General features: G+C 41.3%; 1 protein-coding gene across 8 annotated transcripts in view; it reads right to left on the bottom strand.

Annotated features, from left to right (window-relative positions):
- Positions 1-24,237, bottom strand: part of TRIM55 (tripartite motif containing 55) — a 62,135-nt gene that overhangs the window by 15,530 nt on the left and 22,368 nt on the right. For 3 of the 8 annotated variants that reach the window (XM_011517617.3, XM_017013908.2, NM_184085.2), the window contains exons 4-9: positions 22,766-22,861; positions 10,078-10,311; positions 9,717-9,739; positions 9,490-9,614; positions 7,329-7,579; positions 5,622-5,909 (exon numbers count right to left, since the gene is read on the bottom strand). In XM_011517617.3, coding sequence (XP_011515919.1) covers positions 5,622-5,909; positions 7,329-7,579; positions 9,490-9,614; positions 9,717-9,739; positions 10,078-10,311; positions 22,766-22,861 — 1,017 coding nt within the window. Of the gene's footprint in view, positions 1-4,245; positions 4,334-5,621; positions 5,910-7,328; positions 7,580-9,489; positions 9,615-9,716; positions 9,740-10,077; positions 10,312-22,765; positions 22,862-24,237 lie in introns of all 8 variants that reach the window. The other 5 variants (NM_033058.3, XM_005251316.5, NM_184086.2 and 2 more) reach the window with 5 other exon arrangements.

Raw genomic sequence — 24,237 nt, 5'->3', positions numbered from 1 at the left:
TTGCAAAACATCTATCTGATAAGGAAGTTTTATCCAGAACACATAAAGAACTTCTAGGAAGATAAACAACTTAATAAAAAGTTGGGCAAAAGATGTGTACATTTACTTCACCAAAGAAAATATAAAGATGACCAATAAGCACAAGAAAAGGTGCTAACCATTAGTCTTTGTCAAAATGCAAATTAAAACCACAAGGAGAAACCATGCATAATCATCCACCCAGAATAGCTGAAATATGAAAGATTGACACAATACCATGAGCTGGTAGAACGTAGAGTAGGTAGAGCTCTCTTACCTTGCTGGTGGAAACAGAAAAAGTTGAATAACCACTACGGAAAACAGTTTGACAGTTTCTTATGAAGTTAACCACAAACTTACCATACAATCCAGCAATTCCACTCCTTCATTTACTCAAGAGAGATGAAAACATGTATTCACACAAAGACCTATATGTGAGTGTTCACAGCAGCTTTACTTATTATAGCCAAAGCTGCTAAGAACACAAACATCCATCAAGTGATGAACAGATAAATAACTAGTGGCATACCCACACAATAGACTACCACTTGGGAATAAAAAGAACTGAGATACTATACATGCCACAAAATAAACAAATCTCAGAAGCATTATGCTAAGTGAAAAAAAGCCAGTTATAAAAGCATACAATACTGTATGTTTTCATTCACAAGACAGTTTGGAACTGGCAGAACTACAATGACAATCAAACACATCAGTGGTTGCCAGAGGCAGGGATGCGGGGAAGGGATTTAATGGTAAAGACACATGAGGGAACTTTCTGGGGTGATGAAAATATTCTACATCTTAACTGTGGTGGTAGCTATACAATGCTACACATTTGTCCAAACTCACTGAACTGTACACTTAAAATGGGTAAATTTTAGTGTATGTATATCTCAATAAAGTTGATTTAAAAAATCACATCTTTCATTTCTTCATCCACTGACTGTTCTGTGTCTGCCTCTGCTGTGTACATCCTGTCTTTGCTCTACTGAGCAGTGAGGTCTGTAAGTAACTTTAGGCGACTTCAGAGTGGAGTCATCATGGCTGTGGAGTTCATGGAATCTGAAGGAGGTAATAGCAGCTGTGTAAACATTCAGCTAAATGAGTGCCTAGGGAGAAATCTGGAAAATGGTTTGGGAAATTGGGATTTATGTAAGAGCTTCAAGTCAAGAAATGTACTTTGAGAAATGCAATGGACTCTCTAACTCACTGAGAATCTATTATAATTATTGTCACTCATAATGACTTGTGTCAGGCCTAAGTCCATAACCCTCCCAATGAAAATACCTGAAACCAATTATAAAATTCCTAGTACTAGATTTTTCACAGCCCAGTGTGAAAATAAATGAATCTATTCGTTAAGTAGTCTCTTTATTTTCCTGATGAGAAAACTGAGGCTTCAAGAATTTAGATGCCCAGAGTCAGACACTGAAGCAGCTCCAGGACCAGATCTGAAGTCCTTTCTTCTAACTTTTGGATCCCCACAGTCTTGAGCTTTGGCAAAATTTCTACCCAATTTGTTTGTCTATTTTTCAGGCTTGAAGAATAGAATGTAAAAAATGGATATTTTTGAAACAACAAATCATTATGATATAGTAAAGCTTTCAGGGCCTCTTATCACTGCAACTTTGTGTTCTGGTGAAATACTGAGCTGTGGTTCTATATAGAGGGAGAAATTACAAGGATTTCAATGCCAAAGTCCCTATCTCCAAAGCAATTGGCTCTGGCTGCAGTGTGTGTGTGTGTGTGTGTGTGTGTGTGTGTGTGTGTGTGTGTGTGTGTGTGTGTGTGTGGTGGGGAGATCCTCTTACCCTGAGGCAGCTGCTGTGTCCAGCTCAAGTATCAGCCAGAGCAGCTGCTGAGTTAATCCACCAAATAGAGATCCTGTAGAAGCCCAAGGAAACTGGGGCCTTTGATGAGTTCAAATTCACCACAAGGCTGAATCCAAACCTTGCTTTTTCTTAGAGAATGCCCATGGGGGAGCTACAGCACTCTTCTGATCTAACAAAAAGTAGTGGTCCTGTCCATCACTCGTAGAGGAAGCTGATGTTTGGTTTTTGCCATGACCGGTTTTTTTTGCCTGTGTACTTGGGTGAAGAGAGAAGGTAAGGTATGTGATAAAGCAGAAATTGTTCAGCACCAGAAACCACAGGCAGTAAAATCGAGGGCATGTTTCACTGTGTACATGGATGTAAGGAAAGCACCAGGAAATAGAGCATTTGCTTCTAAAAGGTTTGCAGTTCAGCTGTTGTGGGCTGAATGTAGTTTACAGATCAGCAAGTGAGCCTGAGATGCTTCTGAGTTTTAAAGGCAGCATTACTCTGACACGGGACCACCTAGTAAAGAGAGATAAGACCACCACTGAATCAAAGAGAACTCTTACCACATCCTAAATACTCAAGGTAAGCCTAGTGATGAAATGTGAAATTCTAGCACTCTAACCTTGAACTGGACAAATATGAATCTGGTAAACTGGGTTCTGAAGTGGTGAAGGTGAATCAGACCTGCAAAATATTCTCAGAGGCCGGGAATTTGCTACTATAGTGAGGTCTCTATCAACCTGCCCATATCCCATTTCTGGGATCAAAGAGTAGTACTCCATCATGAACAGGTGTCCTTCTCTATGTGAAAGGCCCTTCCTCAAACACCAAGAACTATACAGTAAGGTTTTTTGCAATACTGGATGTCAACGCCCTCCCCACACCTGCTCCACCTGCCCCACCCTCCTCTCCCTAGGCAGGCACGTGGATGTCAGCATACATGACATGGGCTCAGTGGATCACAGCCTTGAAGCATGACACTCCCTCTGCAGCCTCAGAGAAGCAATACAAGACATATATGTAGTGACAAAGCCCTAAACCCGAATTCTCAGAATGTAAACAGAACCCTTCAGACAATTATTCAGATCCACAATTAGGTCCTGGTTCCAATAAAGCATGGAGTTTTCTCTCTCACCATTCACCCCTCTGAGTCCATGGCCAATACATCCTCCCACTCCTTTTTACCACAGATAATGTCTGAAGGAGTTGGGCAGCTGAGCAGACTGTAAGGACACTCAGGACACTCTAGGGTGCACAGGTTTCCAGCTGACTATTGGACATTGTGGGCAGGTCCTGCTCACACACAGTTCCAGACACGGCAGAGACCAATGGAGACGCCACCGCCATTGCTGAGCAGATGGCTAATGAGGCAGAAAGTCTATGAAGGGAGCTTCCAGAAGAGTCAGTGTCAACCCAGGGAAAAGTCAGTGAGCCAGAAATAGCCGAGGCTTTTCAGCACCATTGACCCTGAACTGCCTTTGAGCTACAGGAACAAGGAGTTGGGTCTCAGGCCCAGCAGGGTCATTTACACAAAAGTACATGGAAGTTGGAATCTTTAAATATTATTAATTAAACTGAGAACTTTCAAAAGGGTATTAAAGGATTATGATGTCAGTCCTCAAGCAAACCTCATAACAGCAATCAAGCAAAGGCTTGGCTATGAGAACGGTGACTCGGAAATAATATAAATGGACTGCTTGATGACTTTATGGCTTAGTTCTTGGTTCTAATTCCTGATAGCTGGTAAGTGCACATTGATCCTCTGGCTGTTAATTCATTCAGGTCTCACGTGGCTGCAATCCCCCAGATATTTCTTCAGTCAGGGCATCTTTCTCTCAGGGACCTCCTCTCCCAGGAGAAACTCTGTAGAGTCTGAGGGTTCAAAGAGAACCCACCTGCTCACCTGCATAGGAACTGCCTAGAACATCATCCCACGAGGAGTCACTTGGCCACCTCCTGGGCATCTCTGGTGTAAGCAGATGAAATGCTTGTACTTAATCTATGGAAACCTGCATTTTCCTGCAGGAGTCCTTTGCCGCTCCTTTCTCTACGAGCAGTAAGTCCTCACCGCATTATGGACACTTGAAACTGGCCTCCCCTAATGACCATTCTGGAGGGTTTGCTCCTCCTGGATTACTGAATAATTGCCCATGGAGTTACTGTTCTCAGTCAAGGTTCCCCTCCATGCAGGAATAGATAATGGAGCAATTCTCCTCAGAAAGAGGTCTTGAGGCGATTGCATTGTGTGAGCTTGAGGCCTCCAGTATAATCTGAGAACAATGTTCTTTTGGGAGGACTGAGCCTCAAGATTTGGGGAGAAATTAATCTCTGGGCCTATAGAAGAGGAACATTATGGAAGAAACTATGTGAGATGTTAGTCAAGGGAAAAGAAAATATTTCCTACCCATTAAAGTAAAAATCAAGCACTGAATCTGACTCCAGATGTAGTGAAGAATAAGAAAAGCCAAAAGCGCTAGGCAGATTACTAACTCCTGTGAGAAAACAAGAAGAAAGCTTCACTGATATTATCACAAATAATTATTTTCAACATTATTTCAATGGACTTTTCATTTTGGCTTGAGCCCTACTACGTGCTCTTCATGGGGTAGTGCACTACTGTTTTCAGAAAACAGCCCCTCCGCACACAGCTTCTACTACCATGTATAAGAATTGCCACACATTTTCTAGAAATAATCAGTCTACTGCATCTTTTACCTAAAAACCACCTCATAAGATTTCTTCCCACCAAACATTTATTTTTGTCATTTTATCTGTGAAAATAAACATCCAACCCCAAAGCATGTTACTTTTAATTTTCCAAAATCATTTCCTTTTACTACCTCATGGAATTGAAGTCTCTTGGGCAGATACAATCAAAATAATAAGTCATTGTCTGATTTTTGAGAACATGTTGTTTGTGGTTCATAATCAATCACCTGATGACCCAGGAGCATGGAACTGGAGAGTGCTTTCTGGCAGCTTCTTGCCTGGGCAACACTCACACCCTACACATCATTTAAGAATGCTCATGAGTATGGAGTCACCATGAACATTCTTCCTTGTGAAGAAATTGTAAAAGATTTCTTCTGTGGACTCTTCAAGACATGCAAACATCTAACCAAGTGTTAGGGGGAAGACATGGACTTCAAACTCATCATATAAAGAAAGAGTCTCTTGAAAAAAATCTCTGTGGAGGAGCACCTGTGCTTTTCCACTCCCAGGAGTACATGCTTAGGAAGCACAGGTTTAATCAAGCCAAGACTGTCTCTGTCTAGCTGTAGCCAGCACACTCCAAGAATCCATGAATCAGAGGTTATTCTCCAGAACAGACTTAAAACTCAAGTGTGCTCCTTGGGGGTTGCTGGGAATGACACAAAAGCAGGGGATTAGTCTTTAGAAGCCCAAGGAGGACACAGGGAAGGCTGAGCAAGGGCAAGTGGCCGTTGGTAAGGAGGACTGGGGACACAGCCAGTCACTGCAGATGAAGCAGCGCTCAGTAGCATGCCTAAGGGCCAGGCTCACTTGCACCCCTCCCCTGGGAAGCCAGGTGTGAGGTCACCATGCACCAGGAGAGTGAACTCAAATTTGTTTTGTTTTATGTTTTCTTTTATATAGAGCTCAAAACAAGCCAACATTGGGGGATGAATTGTTTCTGTACTTTTCCCCTGGCTGAGGTTTCTCTCTGCCCCTTTGAAAACCCTTTTTCTTCTTGCTGTGGCCTGTTCCAGTGGGACCCTAGGGGGCGCGGGAAAGCATAGACACAAGTGCATCATCACTAACCTGAGAAGTAGCTGCAGGTGCACTAGTTTCCTTACCACTCACAGCTGCCCTCTCACTCGCTGCGGCTGCTGCCACTTCTGCCTTCCGTACATTCGAATCCTCAGAACCTGGAGGCCCTATTTGCCCCAGACCTTCGCTCCCTGGGGTGCAAGGTGGGTTGGTGGTGGCTTTCCGGGTTTGGCCTTTATACCAACTAGGGTAAAACAAGGGATCCGCAGTTTCTGCTGCTGCAGGGACTGGAGTTTCAGACTCTGTGGTCTGCTCAGAGCCAGTGGGTACAACCTCCCCCTTAATCAGGACAGATAAATTCAAAAGTAAAGAAAAAAAAAAAGAAGAAGAAGAAGAAAAAGCAGTTGATTTTAGTTCCCTTTGGGTTTGAACACTGTGCGCTCCCTGCATGCAGTGCCTTGGTGGCCGTTTTAGTTCATCCCACCCTCCAGAAGCGCTAAGGGCAGAATGGTGACTACAGTGCCCCTCTGTCCAGCATCTGGATGGGTGCCCTCTTCTTTTCTGAGCTTGTCTTTCACTCACTGGGAGCCCAGGCAGGCAGAGAGCAGAAACCTCAGTGAATGTTGGTTATAAAATATCAGATATGGGAAAAGGGTCAAACTATTGACTAGAATAATTTGTTGGCTTTATACGTGAGTCCCAAAAACCTCATTATAAAAAACAAAAATTAATCTTATTGATCAAATCCAACCCTCACTTAGTTACTATACCTCTTTCAATTTTAATACAACTGAAATGCTCAGAATTTAAAAATTCTAGACTATAAATGGCATTTTAGCCTGGTTTCCTGTGGAGACAGAGCATAGAAATACAGTTCCATCTCTGAGATCCCCCTCTGGAGTTTTGTTTCAATCCACTTCAAAAGCAGTTGCAGAAGCAGGACTCCTCTCTGATGAGTCTGCACTGCCTGCAAACTCAAAAGGTTGGGATCCTGTCTGCTGAAGTATCATGGAGTCTGCACAAAGGCTTGAAAACTGGACGGTGACGTATTAGAAACATGAGGTCAACCAATTAGGTGCAGCATCTGGGGTGAGCTTATTTCTTAAGATATGTTTTAAACAATTCTGTCAACACACAATCTCATCAAATGACAAATCCATAGAAAACCAGGCTTCATTGTTTGCTCACTGAAGGAAAAATACATAAGTTGTATTTCAGGGTAAGCAACAGGAACATAAACTAGTGTAGTTTCTCTATTTACCCCCTCAATTATCTACAGAAAATTCAAAGTTCTGAAAGTATAATCACTTTTATTTCTTACTCTGTATGCTATTTATTTCTCATCCTATACCCTACATATACATTCACTAAGTAACAAAGAGCAGACCCAGTCCCCATGATATCAGCTCTCTATGAATTAACATGACACACAGACATGGACACACACACACACACACACACACACACACACACACACACACAATTTCCAGACAAAGATTGCCTTTGATTTGAGGGCATTACTGGTGGGAAAGTTGTATTAAATTTTGTTAACTAACAATAACAACAAAGAACCTGTTGAATCACCTAGAGGACTTTTCTCCCCGACATGAGGACTGTCCTGAAATCTTTCGTCTACCATATACGAATGTCTGGCATATAGTTATCTTTTTCTTAAGGCAGAATAGGGTAAATTGTTTAGGCTATTCCATAAGGAGACACGCCCATGTGCCCTGTAGAAAGAGACTCAGGAGGGGTTACCTGTGTCACAGGGGCATCCGCAGCAGGTGGCAGGGCTGGAGGTGGCTCTGGAGAGGAAACTGGAAGTGCCCCAGGGGCAGCCTGCAGCTCCACCTGAGAGAGCTCTGAAGCTTTTTCTGGGTTTTCATCTTCTCCTGGAAACTCTGTTTGAACATTTTCTACCTCTTCCACTTCTACTGCTTCTCCTCCCACTTCTCCTTCTCCTTCTTTTTCTCCTTCTCCGCCTTCTTCTTCTTCTTCATCTTCATCTTCTGGTAAGGTAAGGTATCTTGTAAATTGTTATAACTATCTCTGCAGCCATGGACACAGTTAATGGCCAGTGCTTATAGCCCTAGTTAAGGTCAAGGCTGGGGAGTTTTTCTCTGACAGACACTTGACAATGGTCCAAGTGTGCCGTGCCAGGGCTTTGTGCTTCTAGTGGAATGTGGACTGGACAAATGTGAAGGAACCATCCCTATCCTCCTTGTTCTCCTCCCCAGTACAAAGTCTTCACCTCTGCTGTGCATAATGCCCTTCACCTTCCAGAGCCCGTCCACATTTTTATTACAGTCTGCCACATCTGCAAGCTCCTGGAGGCCTGGGATTGTCACTTATTTATCTCTGTCAGATTAAATGGAAGTGCAACTGTCTTCCCTGTCTCAGAAAACATACAAAGCCCTTTTGTCATTTTAGCTTTCTACCTCTGTTGTTCAGTGAATACTGACTTTTGCCATAATTAATGTCACGACTCTTTTATTTATTTATTTATTTATTTATTTATTTATTTATTTATTTATTATTTTTTGAGACAGAGTCTCACTCTGTCACCCAGGCTGGAGTGCAGTGGTGCAATCTCAGCTCACTGGAACCTCCGCTTCCTGGGTTCAAGTGATTCTCCTGCCTCTGCCTCTGGAGTAGCTGGGATTACAGGCGTACGCCACCACGCCCGGCTAATTTTTTTGTATTTTTAGTAGAGATGGGGTTTCACCATGTTGGCCAGGCTGGTCTCAAACTCCTGGCCTTAAGTGATCCACCCGCCTTGGCCTCCCAAAGTGCTGGAATGCCGTGACTCTTTTCCTGACCCACTGATCTTAATATTCCCTCAGGCGACATTAAGGACAGGCAATATTAAGCGATTTTTTTAAAAAGATACATCCTAAAGATTTGCCTTTAAAATTTTGTCTGTGGATGTTGGTGCAGCCTCATAGCATTACTAGTGGTCTAGTGGTCTAGCTGAGGGGTGTGATCATCTAGGTGGGCTAGCATGAGTCAAAGTGATCAAAGTTTTGGTCAGCTCCAAGATTGTTTTTCACTTTTCAATTATTTAATCAGGATAAAATTTCAGAAATGGGACTTCTGGGCCAAAAGGTAGGAATGTGGTTATAGCTCAGGGAGTATAACTAGTCACACAGACCCAGGTTTATGTTCAGGTTGTGACTTATTCTATGAGTTGTTACTATTCTTGTCCTCTAAATTTTGATTAAGTTGATGTGCTGCAATATCTAACCCACATGCCTCCTATGTATTGTTTTTATCTCATCTTTAACCTTGCTCCTGCTGACACTTTACATTATTTTGGCTAACACTGTGCATAGGATTGAAGTTGAGATATCATCATTATCAATTATGAAGCATTTGCTTATCAAGAGTCAAATACCCAACCTGACATTAAAATAGGCACCAGGCCGGGCATGGTGGCTCACTTCTGTAATCCCAGCACTTTGGGAGGCCAAGGCAGGTGGATCACCTGAGGTCAGAAGTTCGAGACCAGCCTGGCCAACATGGCGAAACCCTACCTCTCTAATAATTCAAAAATTAGCCGGGTGTGGTGGCAGGTGCCTGTAATCCCAGCTACTCAGGAGGCTGAGGCGGGAGAATCGCTTGAACCCAGGAGGTGGAGGTTCCAGTGAGCCAAGATCGTGCCATTGCACTCTAGGCTGGGCAACAGAGTGAGAGTCCATCAAAAAAAAAAAAAGGCACCATATGTGCAAAGCTAAATAAACACTGTCAACAAACGATGTGATCCTGTAATGAAATAGAGCTTCACATTGGATATGATCCTTGTAAAGTTGTCGACATTGATTCTGGAGGTGATTCTGAATCCCCGCTTTCCTCCCACCCAACTCTTCGGCAGCTTTCACACACCTGCAACTTCGGCCAAATGGTCAAAAGAATAACAAACCTCTGTAAAAGTCAATTTCACGTATTATCTTTTCTTCTCTATTGAGGTTGACTGTGAAGTGGTTCATGTTCTCATAGCCATGTTCTATTTTCTCCATCTGAAATGCCTTTGATGCTTCCGAGATTCTGCAACAAAGACAAGTTGCCACTTTCTGTCACTGTTGAAAATTGGATAGCCTTGGGTAAAGGTGAAAATATGCATTTTTACATAAAATAAAAAGTTCTTACTTTTTTAGCAGGGTTTTGGCATTCTGTGAAAGCAAACAAAAGATAGTCTTACTTAAATTATTTCCACAAAAGACAGTGGTAAGACAATTATTTCCTTTGTTGACTCTGAGAATCTCATAGCTTAGTTTCTAAATGTCATAAATAACTGCTGTCTTATAACAGAACCCTATTAGATTTAAGCAGTATCATAGACATGCTATTTAAGTTGTTTAAATAGATTAATATATAAGCACATGGGGTTTATATTTTAGTTGGTAAAATAAATAAAAACTGAAATGTACATAAAATAATAAAAATGTGATAACTAATTTTCCAACACCCACCTTTTGGGTTGTTACTTTGGTGCCAAAAAGAGACTTACCTGCAGAAACACTGCCATTTCTGGCTCATCCATAAACTGAATTCCTGACTCAACCAACTTTGAGACGTTCTCCAAATGATCAGAATACTTTTTGATCAGAGCACGGACATGTTCCAGTTTCTCCTCTTGGGTTCGGGTAATGACTTGGGTCATTTCATTCTTCCTCTCCTCCAAAATGCCATACAGGTAATCAAACTTCTCACAAAGCTCTTGTTTCTGTTTTCTGCAACATTCCTATTAGTTGGGTTAGCTAATGTTAGAAAGTATTTGAAACAAAGTCGATTTGGAGAAATCACCTAGTTATCCTGGGAAAGAAGAACATTTACTTATGTAGGATATTTTTTTCTTTTCCCTGAAGATGTCTATTTAGGTATGGATACCCACTATGTTGGTGCTTTGGAAATTCCATTTTTAACAAATTTGATATTTAGACTATCTAAAACTCAATTAAATTGGCTACATGAATCAATGGTTTTTCAATCTTCTGTTCTTTATAAATGGAGAATTTCATAGAAATAAAGAATGATTTTCTTTTATATTATATTTGGGTTACATAGGTTATAGGTTATATTTTGCTTTGGAGTGTGTGTGCATGTGTGTGCATGCAAGGAAAATACTATGATACTTCCTGGTTTGTACCTTAAAGTCTCTGCTCCACCTATACCAATATTGTCCTAGTTTCAGTCCTCCTATATAGAATTTGTAGCTTCCCAAAGGCCTCTGCAGCTAGGATTCCCTCCTCCCAGTCAACTTACACACTGCAACCAAGTTAATTTTCTCAGAGTACAGTTCTAATCATGTTTTTTTGTTCTTTCCTTTCTTTCTTCTTTGAGACAGAGTCTAGCTCTGTTGCCCACGCTAGAGTACAGTGGTGTGATCTCGGCTCATTGCAACCTCCGCCTCCCAGGTTCAGGCAATTCTCCTGCCTCAGCATCCCAAGTAGCTAGAATTACAGGCACCTGCCACCACACCCAGCTAATTTTTGAATTTTTAGTAGAGATGGGGTTTCACCACATTGGCCAGGCCGGTCTTGAACTCCTGACCTACAGTGATCCGCCCACCTCAGCCTCCCAAAGTGCTGGGATTACAGGCGTGAGCCACCGTGCCCGGCCTTAATCATGTTTTTTTCTATGATGACTCCCTATTACACAAAGAATAACACTTAAACTTCCTAACTAGCTTTCAAGACCCCTCCATGATCTGGTTCCAATTTCTCTCATAACATTCTACTATCCTCCATTGTATACCCTGAATTCCAGCAAAAATAAACCACTCACTTTCTTTGTTCATGCTTTCCCTTCTGTCTACAGTGTTCTTCCCCAAGTCACCACTGCAAACTCTATGCAATTTCAAAGACATTGTCAGACTACCACTTCTTCCATAAAGTGTCCCTTGATGTTTATGGCTGAATGCAACTTTTAACTTTCTGAAATCTCATAATAGTTACCATTGATAGCATATATCTGTATCTACCAGATCCTCTATTTATCCAATACTGCCTAAGAATGGGTAATACTGTATCTGGTCTATGCTCTTGGAGAGAAAGGCTGTGTTGGAAGTCTGGCTTGCACATTTGTGTTGTGTGGCTGAAGTATCTCCAGTACCATCCAGATCCCTTTAGTCTGGGCCCATCTTTAAATCATAATTAATTATCCAGTTCATCTAGTCATTGGCCTTTTGGTTTTTCAATCCCTGGTAAGCTTGGTGTGCATGTATGCCAATCTCCTTGGACTTGACCATCTCTGGGTCCAGGACCTTTATAGCTGAGAGCAGGTTGTGAGCCATAGTGATCTAACCTAGCTCTCCCGCACAGTGAGAGCTTCTTGGGAATCCAGCAAATTTATTTCTGACATCTCTGACCATTCTATACCCTTTATTACATATTCTTTCATTTTGGTAAACATTGAAGTCTTTTATGTCATGTATTGCTTTCTTCCTTTATGTGAATTTCTTAAATATCCAAAGTATATTTTTTTTGAGGGTAGAATCTGGGTCTGCCTAGGACACAGAGCACCTTGGATAGTAGCTGTTCACTAAATATCTGTTGAATAGATTTTGTGGTTTTTTTTTTTTTTTTTTTTTTTGAGATGGAGTCATGCTCTGTCACCCACGCTGGAGTGCAATGGCGCGATCTCGGCTCACTGCAAGCTCCACCTCCCAGGTTCAAGTGATTCTCCTGCCTCAGGCTCCTGAGTAGCTGGGATTACAGGCACATGCCACCTTGCCCGGCTAATTTTTGTATTTTTAGTAAAGAAGGAGTTTCACCATATTGGTCAGGCTGATCTCAAACTCCTGACCTCATGATCCACCCGCCTCGGCCTCCCAAAGTGCTGGGATTACAGGCGTGAGCCACCAATCCTGGCGGAATAGATTTTTTTTTTAATGTGTTTCATTTCCTCTCAATTTCTCTACTATTCTCAGTATGGAGTCAGGGAGAATGACCTAAACCAAATTGTTGATTATGAAGATACTCTGCAAATGTGCAAGAAATACATCCCTTACTCCATTGCCTTCCTTGGAACAGTCAATTCTCATCACAGTTCCCAACCAAATTATAATGCATGGAGATCCAGTGGTGCCAACTATTTTAATAGTAAATGCCTTACCACTGTCATCCACCCATTCATTCATGGATTTAACAAACAATGCATGTCATTTGTGTCAAGACTCTGGGGATCCAAAAAAGAATTAACATAGTTCCTATTCTCAAGGAGCTCACAGTTCACTGAGAAAGACTATAGACCAATAATGTAATTCAATATGGTAGGCTGAATAATGTAAATATTTTAGAGATTTATACCAGATGCTTTAGAAGCATTTATGGAATCTTTGTCCAACCCTTTGTGTAGGTGGAGGAACTTTGAGGGGAGCCAGAAATGTTGACTCAGGAAGAGTTTCTCAGAGGAATTAGTACTTGAACTTGACCTTAAGGAGGAATAGGAGTAAAGGAGGTTGAGGAGGGGATGAAAATGCTTGAAGTCCTAGCAGTTGTGAAAGTAATGGAACAAGGGCCCATGCAGCATGTCAAGATGTGGAAATTGCCTGGCTTGACAAATTTCCACTCATTTCCAGCCCTTTAGCTTGAGAGTCGGACTGTTCAACCAGGCCTAGAAACTGAAACCTATTAGTAGCTTTCCAATCAAACTCTCTTTCACTGTATTATCTTTTGTTCCAACCTTCAGGCAACCAGGTGCCCACTGTACACATGAAATAAGCCTCTCTGATATTTAGAAGCTCTACTGTGATCATATAATGGTTTCCAGCTTGTTTCTCCCAAATGAGTTGTGCACTTGAAACATTTATAATATGAGTATTATATTAAGATGTAATACAGGTAGAAAGTCTTTGATTCACAAAAATTTTCTCCTATGTGATTTAATATGTGAGAACATTCAAGTTTATGGCAGCCAAGTCATTTACAATGAGACAGATGTGAAGCATGTGTAATCTAGTGTACTCTCTCAAGTCAAATAAAGATTAAATCACTTATTTTGACCATATAATTTTTTTTGGCAGTTTAAATGGAATAACTAATTTCATTCCTATATTACTTGCAATTCCAAGCATTATTTTATTTCTATTCTGTTTTTTTAAATAACTTATATTGAATGTTAGTAAAACTACTATCATTTGTTTATACTTCATAGTGCAGGAAATGCTACCCCATATGCGGTCTATGCTTTATTAAAATTATTATATCATTAAATACTTTGTAAAGTGCTTATAATATTACCTGGCATATATTGGTACTGGATCAGTGTCTATTAAATTTAGGTACAAATTCCTTAACCTGAATTATTCAGTTGTGGAATTTTGAAGCTGCATGGAATATTAGAAGTAACCTGCTCCAAATCAATCATGTCACTCATGTGGAAACTGAAACCCAGCAGAGCTGTCACTTTCTCAAGGCCATCCGACCATTTATTATTGGTGCCTGGCCTACAGTCAAGGTCTTTGAACTCCTGGGTCATTGCTACTCTCACCACACCCAGCTGGGCCCATATTTTAAGTAACTTTAAAAAATTATATGAAGTGCTTGTAAATGGAATATATGCCTTTTAACAAATGTACTGGCCAGGTGCAGTGGCTCACACCTGTAATCCTAGCACTTTGGGAGGCCAAGGCTGGAGGTGGAGGCTGCAGTGTGCCAAGATCGCGCCATTGCCCTCCAGCCTGGGTGACAGAGTGAGACTCCACCTCCAAAAGAGAAAAAAAAAACAAAACCCAAATTCACTATGCTTAAGGTAGATTTTTTAAAGGCAAGGCATCTTAAATTGTTTCAGAATTATATTCCTAGTTCTTTCAACAAAATTCACCAACCACTGACTTTGTACCTGGCATTGTATGATCTAATAACCTGCCATAATTTTCCATTGTTTTGGAGAATAATGAACAAAAAAAAGTATCATAAATGATAAATATAAAATCATTATATTTTCTAATTCCTAATGGAAAAAACTTTTTTCTCTTGTTTAATTAGCTTTTAATATAATTCTATGCAAAAAATGGTAAGAGTTAGATAAATCTGTTTCTGAAACGGCAAAAATACATGCCTCTTCTTTGGAATTACGAAATTGGAACTTACAGACTTTTAGAAATTAACTCAAAATGTTCAGGTTAACCTAATGTCATATTCAAATGTGAAATACTCCATGAAATGAAGTCTCCTATTTTTTCACACTCTTTGAGGTAGAACCCACACACAAGAGACTAACTTAGATGTCCCCTAATCTTTCTTGGCTTCAAGACCATCAAAGTGCTGTGAAAGTCAGGGAACAATAAACACCTCAGGTTATCAATTTGCCCTCTAAGCTGATGAGGGAACAGATATGTGCCATGAAAAAAAAATGTTCTCAGAGGCCACCTAGCTACTGACAGTGATGACTCTGAATTTCAGTACCTACTGTGCCTTTGTTAATGTGAATCTGCAACACTTTCAGCAGTGACTTTCTAGCAGCCTGAAAAATGGAATAGGAAAAAATGTGGACTTTTGCATTGTGAAAACGTCTGCAGACAGAACACTTTAAAGGACTGTTGTTACCTACAAAAGCATGATAGCAACCATATTTGTCTCTTCTCCACAAAAACTTCCTCATCTCAAAGACTGCTCCTTGCTTTTAGCATACTTTTTCATTTACTTGAGTAAAAAGGTATGTATCTTTAAGACCAATTCGGAGCCATACACCTCCCCTCTTCTCTGGACAGTAATTCAATCAAGATATACACTTTTTGAGCTTTCGAGTTTATCTTTTCAAATAGTCTCCATTTTCTTCCTTTTGATGTCTGTGCTTCCTACATCCTCTGTGTGTGCACCTGTGTGAGTGTGCTTAGCAAGTGAAGTATACCTCCACCATAAATGAAGTAGGTATTGGTCTCCGGGTATACTCTGATGCAAAGCCTCTGGCTGCTGCACAGCCTTCCTCCTGGGTCTGCTAGGACAGTTATATTTCTTGGCTTCTTGGGAGAACCAAATTAAAGTTGTCTATAATATTTTAATGAAAATAAAATTCATCCCATTTCTAGGGAGAATGCAGTGTGGATGCAATATACCAAAAAGGGATGATTTTATAAAGTGAAGATCATCCCTCCCATATTGAAATGGTAAGATGATGATGGGTGGGATATTTGTTTCTAACCAATGCCAACATTTCTGGATGTAAAGAAAAAAAATCAAATGGTCATTTGGTTGTTTCCTTAGAAGTGAGTAGGTAACATTTAACATTGACCTAAAGCCATTGTTGAACTGTTGCCATCATGGAAATGTTAAAATTGGCAGACTCCAATTTCTAGCCACCTTTATATTTTAGTAGTAATAAGAAAAACAAAATATGCAACTGTAAAGAGAACATTTCATGGAAAGAAAAATCAACAATAGATGACCTTACATTAAAAGAGAAGACAGCCTTCCAAGCAAAGCACCATCATACCACTGTTTTAAATGGCTAGATTTTTATTGGTTCACTTTTCTCTCAGGTAATTATCACTCTCTAAAATGATCTTGTTGTTCATTTGATTACTGCCTAACTCCTCTATTAGAATAAAAAATGCCTGTGAACAGAACCTTTTATGTTTAGCTCATCACTAGTTCCCAGCATTATGTGTACAGAACATGGCACACAATGCACCCTCGAGAAATATAGATTGAAATAATGAATGAATGAATGAATAAAATGTGACTTGCATCTAGAAATATTCAGCCTTCATGCAAAAGCTTCAGTTTTGTTCTGTTCCAAAGAAATAGGTATTTAAGTGGATATTCCAAGCTTCTGCTTCATTCAGTGTTAAAAAAAAAAAAACCCAAAAACCAAGAAACCAGTAAAATATAGCTATGCAACCTTTGGGAAACCATTGAACCTCAGGACAGTTGTTAGTATGTTTGTATTTGTACAGTGAAAGACTGAATTATATAATTGCTAAAGTCCCTTCTGACTCTACAGTGCCAAGACTCTCTAATTTCAGGTAAATGTGAAGAAGTTTCAGAGAGTCATTAGGCTATGATGTGCTTCCCTCTGTTCCTGGCAAGTCTTGTGTCATCGACAGCATTAAGATATACATTACATGTCCTAGCCCTGAAAGCTCAGCACTAGCTTGCACACGTGCCATGGCCACAATAGGAAAAAAACCTAAAGCAACAATGACCACTGCTCTTACCATGTAAGGAACACAGCTCTGTGACCAAAATAGAGCTGAAGATAAGCTCTTAGACCCACCACTTGTCACTGAGCAACTGTGGCTTGATTAGGCCCATTCATATCTCCACCACATTCCTCCAACATTCATCGAGACATACTTGTTAGAGCTATACCTTCATTTGAAATAAGGAACTTCAAAATTCCCTTCAATAAGCAAACAGGATTTCCTGCCACCAACCCTCCAAAAAAGAAAAGAAAAGCAGCCTGTAGATTAACAATACTGAAAAAAGAACTACATTAAAGTAAGAAGTTCCTTCCAAGAAAATCAAATCCAGCCTTTCATTCATAAAGCTCCAGTTACAAGCACTTGGAGAAGTCCCATGAGTACAGACTAGGGTGTCCCTAGAAAGGGGACAGATAAACTACAGAGACACCAACTTCTGGGCACCCAGGCTGGGATTCAGCCCTCCACCAGCTGGCCCCTTTGTGTAGTGCTCAGCAAACAACTCCATTCAGTGGCTGTGGATCTCGGGTCTTCCAAACTCAGGCTCTTTTCTACTACTTCATGTTGCCGCTCCATGTTCGAAGGATAATTATACGGTAATTTGAGGGATTTCTAACACTTACTCTTGGGGTTCTTGGCATTTTGGTTTTTCTGGGCTAAGCCAGATCATTTAGAATCTTCTTGAGTAGACGCTATAAGGGCTGAGGGCCAGGTGGGCCTGTTCTGACAGGAACCCCATGGTTCAGTGAAAGCCACTTGTCAGACTGAGCAGATGTTTATCTCACTCTGGTCTGCTGTGGGTAGTCACCATGTTTCCCAGAAGAGGCTCAGTCTCCCTTGGTTGCCTATATTTCCAGTTGCCACAAAGCCTCTTAGATAAATAACGGAAGTCATTTGTAGCTCCATTCATTCTCAACGTGTCCCTCTAGAGGGAGATGCTCAGTCCTGCCATCACAATTAACTAGGACCTGATAGTCTTCTGACATCATTTAAAAGATGCTCCAGAATCTCTAGAGGTTCCTATTGGATCACATCATCAGAATAAGTGTGTGCTTTCCAAGATGACTCTGAGGCTGTAAGGTGACATTTACCAAGCCCCTGGAATGTACCTCTTATTTCAACTTCGTCATCATGACAATGCTGTGAAGAAGGTATTATCATCCCCACTGTAACGCTGAGGAAGCCGAGAGACAGGAAGCTTAAGTAACATGCCCAGTGTCGTGTAATTAAGCAACAGAACTAAAACTCAAACTCTGAAATCTGTTCTTTTAAACATATGTTATATTGCCTTTAAAATTCTGGCATGGTATTTAAACAACTCTAATTATATTCATACTTCATATTTGTAATGGCATGGACAATGTCTCAGAGACTAGAAATGGTCATTTTGGGTAAAATCACTGTTTTGGAAATACAATGAATTTGTTATCACTGCAAAATCATTGGAGGGTTTTATTCAAGTTGTCCTTTTTCAGAGATTGGAAATGCTCAATATCAAATATTTATTATTTACTTGGAACAGTTTCCACTAGACAGGCCATACAAAACAGGGATGTTTCTAGGCCTGCCAGCCTGCCTTTGGGATGGCCAGTATTAACAGCCTGTGCCCTTAAGTATCCAGTGACATAGGATAAGTTCCACTGGTAAAGTTCACAAGAGGTAGATTATGTTCTCTAGGGATGAGAAGTGAAAGTCAAGCATGTTTCCCTGGAAGCAGAGAGCTCCCCAGTGGACATTTCCATTCCTACAGGCAGCCCCCCATCCAGTTCCATTCTGTTCCAGAACAGCTCCAGGCCTAGAAAGGCAAGTGAACCTTCAGATCATGCTGGGCTCATGGAACAGCCCAGAAGCCCTCCATCAGCCTGCAGTCCGGAGTTCAGGGAACGTCTTAGGCCAAGCCACTCTCAAGAAGCGGAGGTAAAAAGACTCACGGCTCAGTTCATTCACCATCAGCCCACAGCATGGAAGGAAAATGCCACTCCCCCTTTCAAACCACCCTTTTGCAACTATAGGCATTCTCAAATCCTTCTTCATTATCACAGTAAATTCATGTTAATGCAGACATTATTCTTAAAGGATAACAAGGAGTCCACAGTGTAATTTACCCTAAGCTCAGCATTGCTTCAGGGCTGGTCTTGGGACAGGTGCCTCCCCAGGCCAGTCCTGTGTGACATTACATGATTAGGACAAAATTAGACATGTGCAAGGAAAGCACAGCCACCAAAGGGCTCTGGGGCAGGTGTCAGTGCCCCAGGCGGGGAGAGGCTGTGTAATTATGGAAGGATAATACCCACCCCAGGGACTACTTCATTTCCCATCCCTAAGGAACTCTTCACCAATCAGAAAAGAGAATTCTTTAACAACAGCTCTCCACCCCCTGGCCAGGAACCACTCATAGCTTCTCAGAACATGTTTCTGGGCAGGTGGGAGCAAAGCCAGAAAGGAAAACGAACCCCGGGCAGAACCAGAGACACAAGAGCTCTGTGGCCCTGACCCTGGTAGATAATCCACCAGGCTCTCAAGCTAGGACCATTTCACTGCAAGCCAAGGACCTGGTTTGCTGCATGTTGTCCTGCCTTGCAGGCTGGCAAGAAGCTGAGCCTCTGGGCTTTGCCCACTGATATGGAACTGGCTCTGGGAGATCACCCCAGCGATGACAGATGCACAGGGTGGCCATCTGGAAGTGCCCCTGTCCTCAGGGATGCTTCAAACAAAGGTTAATGTGTCAAGAGGGATTCATAAAGTCGGAGACCTCCATGGGGCTTTGAGAACATCTCTACATCTCCAGATGAGCCACCTAAACTGATCTGAAAGAACTATGCTCATGTGAGTCATATTCACTTATTCTTTATTTTGCTGGTTATTAAAAATGTCAGACTTACTTTATAAAAATGTGAATACAGGAATACATAAGGGAGGCAGTGAAAATCACCTGCAGTCCCACTATTCGCTGCCCTTAAACTTTTGGTGTTTTTCATTCCTAATTTCTCCCCATGAATGTATAGGAGGCTATATGTAAATATCCACAGTCACGGGTTGCTTAACTAGTATGTTCTGAGAAGTGCATCCTTAGGCAGTTCCATTGTGTGAGCATCACAGAATGTACTTACACAAACCTACATGGCAGAGCCTACTGCCCACTTAGGTTGTATAGCACAATCTATTGCTCCTAGGACACAAACCTGTACAGCATGCTACAGTACTGAATACTATGGGAAAATGTAATACATGGTATTTGTGCATCTAAGCATATCTAAACATAGAAAAGGTACAGTAAAAATATGATATTATAATCTTATGAGACCTCCATCATATATGCAGTTCATCATTGACCAAAATGTTACATGGTGCATGACTGTACTTTCTGTACTGTTATATATGAATATACATCCTAAACAATAAATAAGAACGTATATTTGCTATGTTTTTTCATCTTATAAAAACAGGTATGAAATAAATGAAAGAAATGAAATAAACAGGTAAAAGGATGGACTTTTAAGACTCCTGATAATTTGCAGCCTCATCATAAAGTCCTGCAGGGAATGATTACATACCCTCCCCTAGCCACCTGTGAAAATGCTTATTAGAAAAGTGTGTCATGTTCAATGAATTGTATTGCCAATAAGAATGGGGGTAATGATCCTGCCCTTCCCTGCCAGGACGTTCTTCCTGACATCTGCACTAATCCCTTCTGCTGATTTAACTTCAAACCTGTTCCTTCTTGTCATTTCGGTGAATAAAAACAGCACTTCCTACCATGCCCCTGATCGGCTTCTATGAAGAAAACCTGTTGTCAAATCTCTGCGGCCCACTCAGTGTCCTCTGATGCTGGCTAAAGGGAGCCCTAATCATTTGCATTTGCTCAAGAATCAAATTGCTCAAGGCCCAGATGGACCCCCCAGGACTCTTCTCCTGTGCATTCTCCAGCTTCTCCATCCCAGACAGAAAGCCTGTTCCTTCCAACAGACATCTCCGGTAAAGCCCTGAGATTACCTCGCTCACCCACAAGCAACGTGCTCCTATTTATAAACTCAAGACTCAGCTTGGTACTACCCTGGAGTGCTGATTCACGGTGTTATGACCAAATTGTATTTTGCCTTTACTGTAAATAAGTACAAAGAAAAAAGTTTGTACTGTCTGTTTCCTAATCTCTTTCGGCTCTTCACCAAGAGAAAACTTTCCTTCTATAAATGGATCCCAGACTGATCATGGATCTTTTCAGGAATATGAGTGTGGAGAAGAAACGAGATTGATTTTAATAGTGTGCAAATTTAAAATGAGATAAGTATAGCTAATGTCCTAAAGCCCTCATTTAGAAAATGGCCTTTAGCTTTGAATAGAACTTGCCTTTCTAATGATAAAATAATAAGAATAGTATTTATTGAACACTCACCACATGCCAGGCACTGTGCTAAGCATTTTGCTTCTGCTTATTTAATTATTCATAGTAACTCTATAAGATAGGTACCATGATTGCCCCATTTTTACAGAGGAGAAAACTGAGAAACTGAATCTCCTTGTAGCAACACGAATGGATCTTAAAAACATAATGCTGGCTGGGCGTGGTGGCTCACGCCTGTGATCCCAGCACTTTGGGAGTCCGAGGCGGGCAGATCAGGACGTCAGGAGTTTGAGACCAGCCTGGCCAACAGAATGAGAGCCCACCTCTACTAAAAATACAAAAAATTAGCTGGGCATGGTGGCGGGAGCCTGTAATCCCAGCTACTCAGGAGGCTGAGGCAGGAGAATCGCTTGAACCTGGGAGGTGGAGGTTGCAGGGAGCCAAGATCATGCCATTGCACTCCAGCCTGGGTGACAGTGTGAGACTCCATCCCAAAAAACAAACAAAAACCCCAAAAACATAATGCTTAGTTTTTTAAAAAGTAAGAAGCAGAATGAAAAATACCACATAGTACCATTTATAAAATTAAAAGACATGTATATAACACAATACGTATTTTATAAGAATACAAACAGAACATCAAACATGTTAGAGTGGCAATCTATGGGGAGGAGAACAAGAGTGGGAAATGAGGATAACGGGAAATAAATAGATAACAAGAGAGGCTTGCACACAGCAATGAGAACTATATGCCATGAACTGAACAGCATCATACCTCCACCCTCTGCACAGAGGTCCAACTACAAAAACAATGACCCCAAATCTTAGAGCAGGGAGATTGTAATGGACTGCTCCAGTTACAGAGCCAGGGCCTGGACTTGAACCCAGGTGTCTTGCACCTGCCCCAGAGCAGCACGGATGTAACTAGTCAGTGAATTTTCAATTCCTGAAAAGATATCTGCCACATAGCTAACTCTCTTTAGGCTTCCACACTTTAAAGGCCTCCGGTAATGACATACTTTATATTTGATCTTGAGGGACAAGTAGATTTGCTCTATTTATTATACGGCAAGCTCAAATATGAGCTAAACAACCGGCCACTCATCTCTTCATTCAGCAAGATTTTTTTTTTTTTTTTTTTTCAGTGTTGATTATGTGCCAGGCATTGGGCCAGGCAGAGGGCAAGTGGAGATGAATGAGCTCAAACTCTTGGCCTCCATGAGCTCCCAGCCACTGAGCCATTCTCTAACTACAGCTAGGCAGATCTTTCTCCTCCTTATGGCCACTTCGCAGCACTGCTGTAAGAGCAGAGAAGTGCAGCTCAAACCTGCCTATGACTGTCTAAAGCACCGATGAGCATTTCCTAAGACAGTTTGGATTTCCACCAGGAAAGTTTGCTGTAATAGCAACAACACTGATTTCCATGATGGGGGATTTAATTTTCTTGTAGCTAATCTTTCAAAAGGAAGAAAGAACAACACATACAGCAACAGCCCTAGTAATTGTGGTAACATCTGCCTCAGTGACTCATGTGATAATGTCTCTTTCTGTGCAGGAGGTGAATATTTCAGAGACATATCAGGAAGGAGGCCATTCTAGAAGCAAAGAATGAAAGGTCAGAATAGGGATGTCTAGTGTGGCACTAAGGAAGTCATAAACCCCCAGGCATTGCAGGCTTGGTTGAGACGCTGTGGGAGTCACCTGACTCACCTCGATAGTTTTGCAGGTGTCTTCCAGCTGGCTGATCACTCCCTGGACTCGATCGTTGCTGCCCACGAGGATGGCGATGCCATCACTGAGCTCAGACTAATGAAGAGAAAACATGAACCCAATATCTTAGGGGTTTCCTAGCCACCCCGACTGTGAATTGGTCATAATATTGTCTTTACAGGTTCTTAATTTAGGATCCATGCAACCCCTAAGGACTAACAGGGAGGCCTGTGGACCTTCTGATATTGCAAGCAAACCTTTGTGTATGAATCCATTTGTGCAGGGAAAGGTTTCACAGTTTTCATCAGTCTTAATATTAAGATCAACATGTTCAAGCTAAAGAATTCTAAGTATTGTTTATAAATAGCATGGAGACCAATATGTGACTTCAGGGACCCAAATGGAATTATTTGCCTAGTGGAACTAAGGGTCAATTTTACTTGGGAAATGTGTATAGTAAATACTCATTTATTCAACAAATACTTATTATGGGCATAAGAATATAGTGTATACAGACACAAACACTCACACATTAGACTAAGTCATTACAAACTTCACACTGAAACAAAGAACTAGTTCTAGGGGAGAAATGTCAACTTTTAAATTCCTTTGCTCTTTTGACTTAGGAAGAGATTCTATTGTTCCTATTTACCCCCTTCCCAAGACTGGCTGATGGAGCCACCAGGAGCACTGGAGGGGCACTTGGGAGACCCATGCGCTTGGTCCAACTCTACCCCCAACTTCTCTGTGATGTTGGGCAAAACATATATTCAATTTTGACCCTAATTTTCTCACATTTAGAAGGAGAAGATTGGACCAGAACAGTGATTATAAAATATTTTAAAGCTGCAGAACCTTCTTCAAGTGAAAGCTAATATGGAGGTGAAGCTGCTTTGGCCAAACAGGAGCAAGGGTGAGGGTCCCACCAGTCTGTTCTTCTGTCCATCTCACATGAGTCTCCAGGCTCTGAAGGAAGGAGTGTGAAACAGCTACCATCCAGTTCTATTATGCTATGCTTTGGGGGAGGTGGGCAGAAGAGAAGGGGGAATAAATTGTAACTGGATTCAAAAATAAACAAATGTTGTGGATAATTTGCAAAATCTGTTTCTTTAGGACTTAGTGGCCACTAGCTGTAATTGGTGTTGCCCAAGAGTTTTGCTTCCAAATTTGATTTCAGCACTGATCTTCACAGTAAAACACTGATCAAATGTGGAACTGATGATTCTAAATGAAAGAAACTGAGTAGTGGAACTGCTCAAGTTCTCGGTGCCTGGAGTGGCTGCACCTATTGGAGTACCCAACTCCACTTTTATCTGTACCAGATGGATAAATTCTGACCTGCTCATGAATGAAACCAGGTTGGCAGGTTGGTAATGTGTAGAGGGAGACACTGTCTTTCTGTCTGCTCAGAATTAGGGGGCCATGGCTGAGGCCCTGGGGTCAGGGGGAGACACCACACTCAGAGGGGTTTT

This window comes from Homo sapiens, chromosome 8, assembly GCF_000001405.40.
Source record: "Homo sapiens chromosome 8, GRCh38.p14 Primary Assembly".
NCBI lineage: Eukaryota > Metazoa > Chordata > Mammalia > Primates > Hominidae > Homo > Homo sapiens.
Note: the sequence above shows the minus strand (reverse complement) of the source record. Positions and strands in the feature narration are given on the sequence as shown.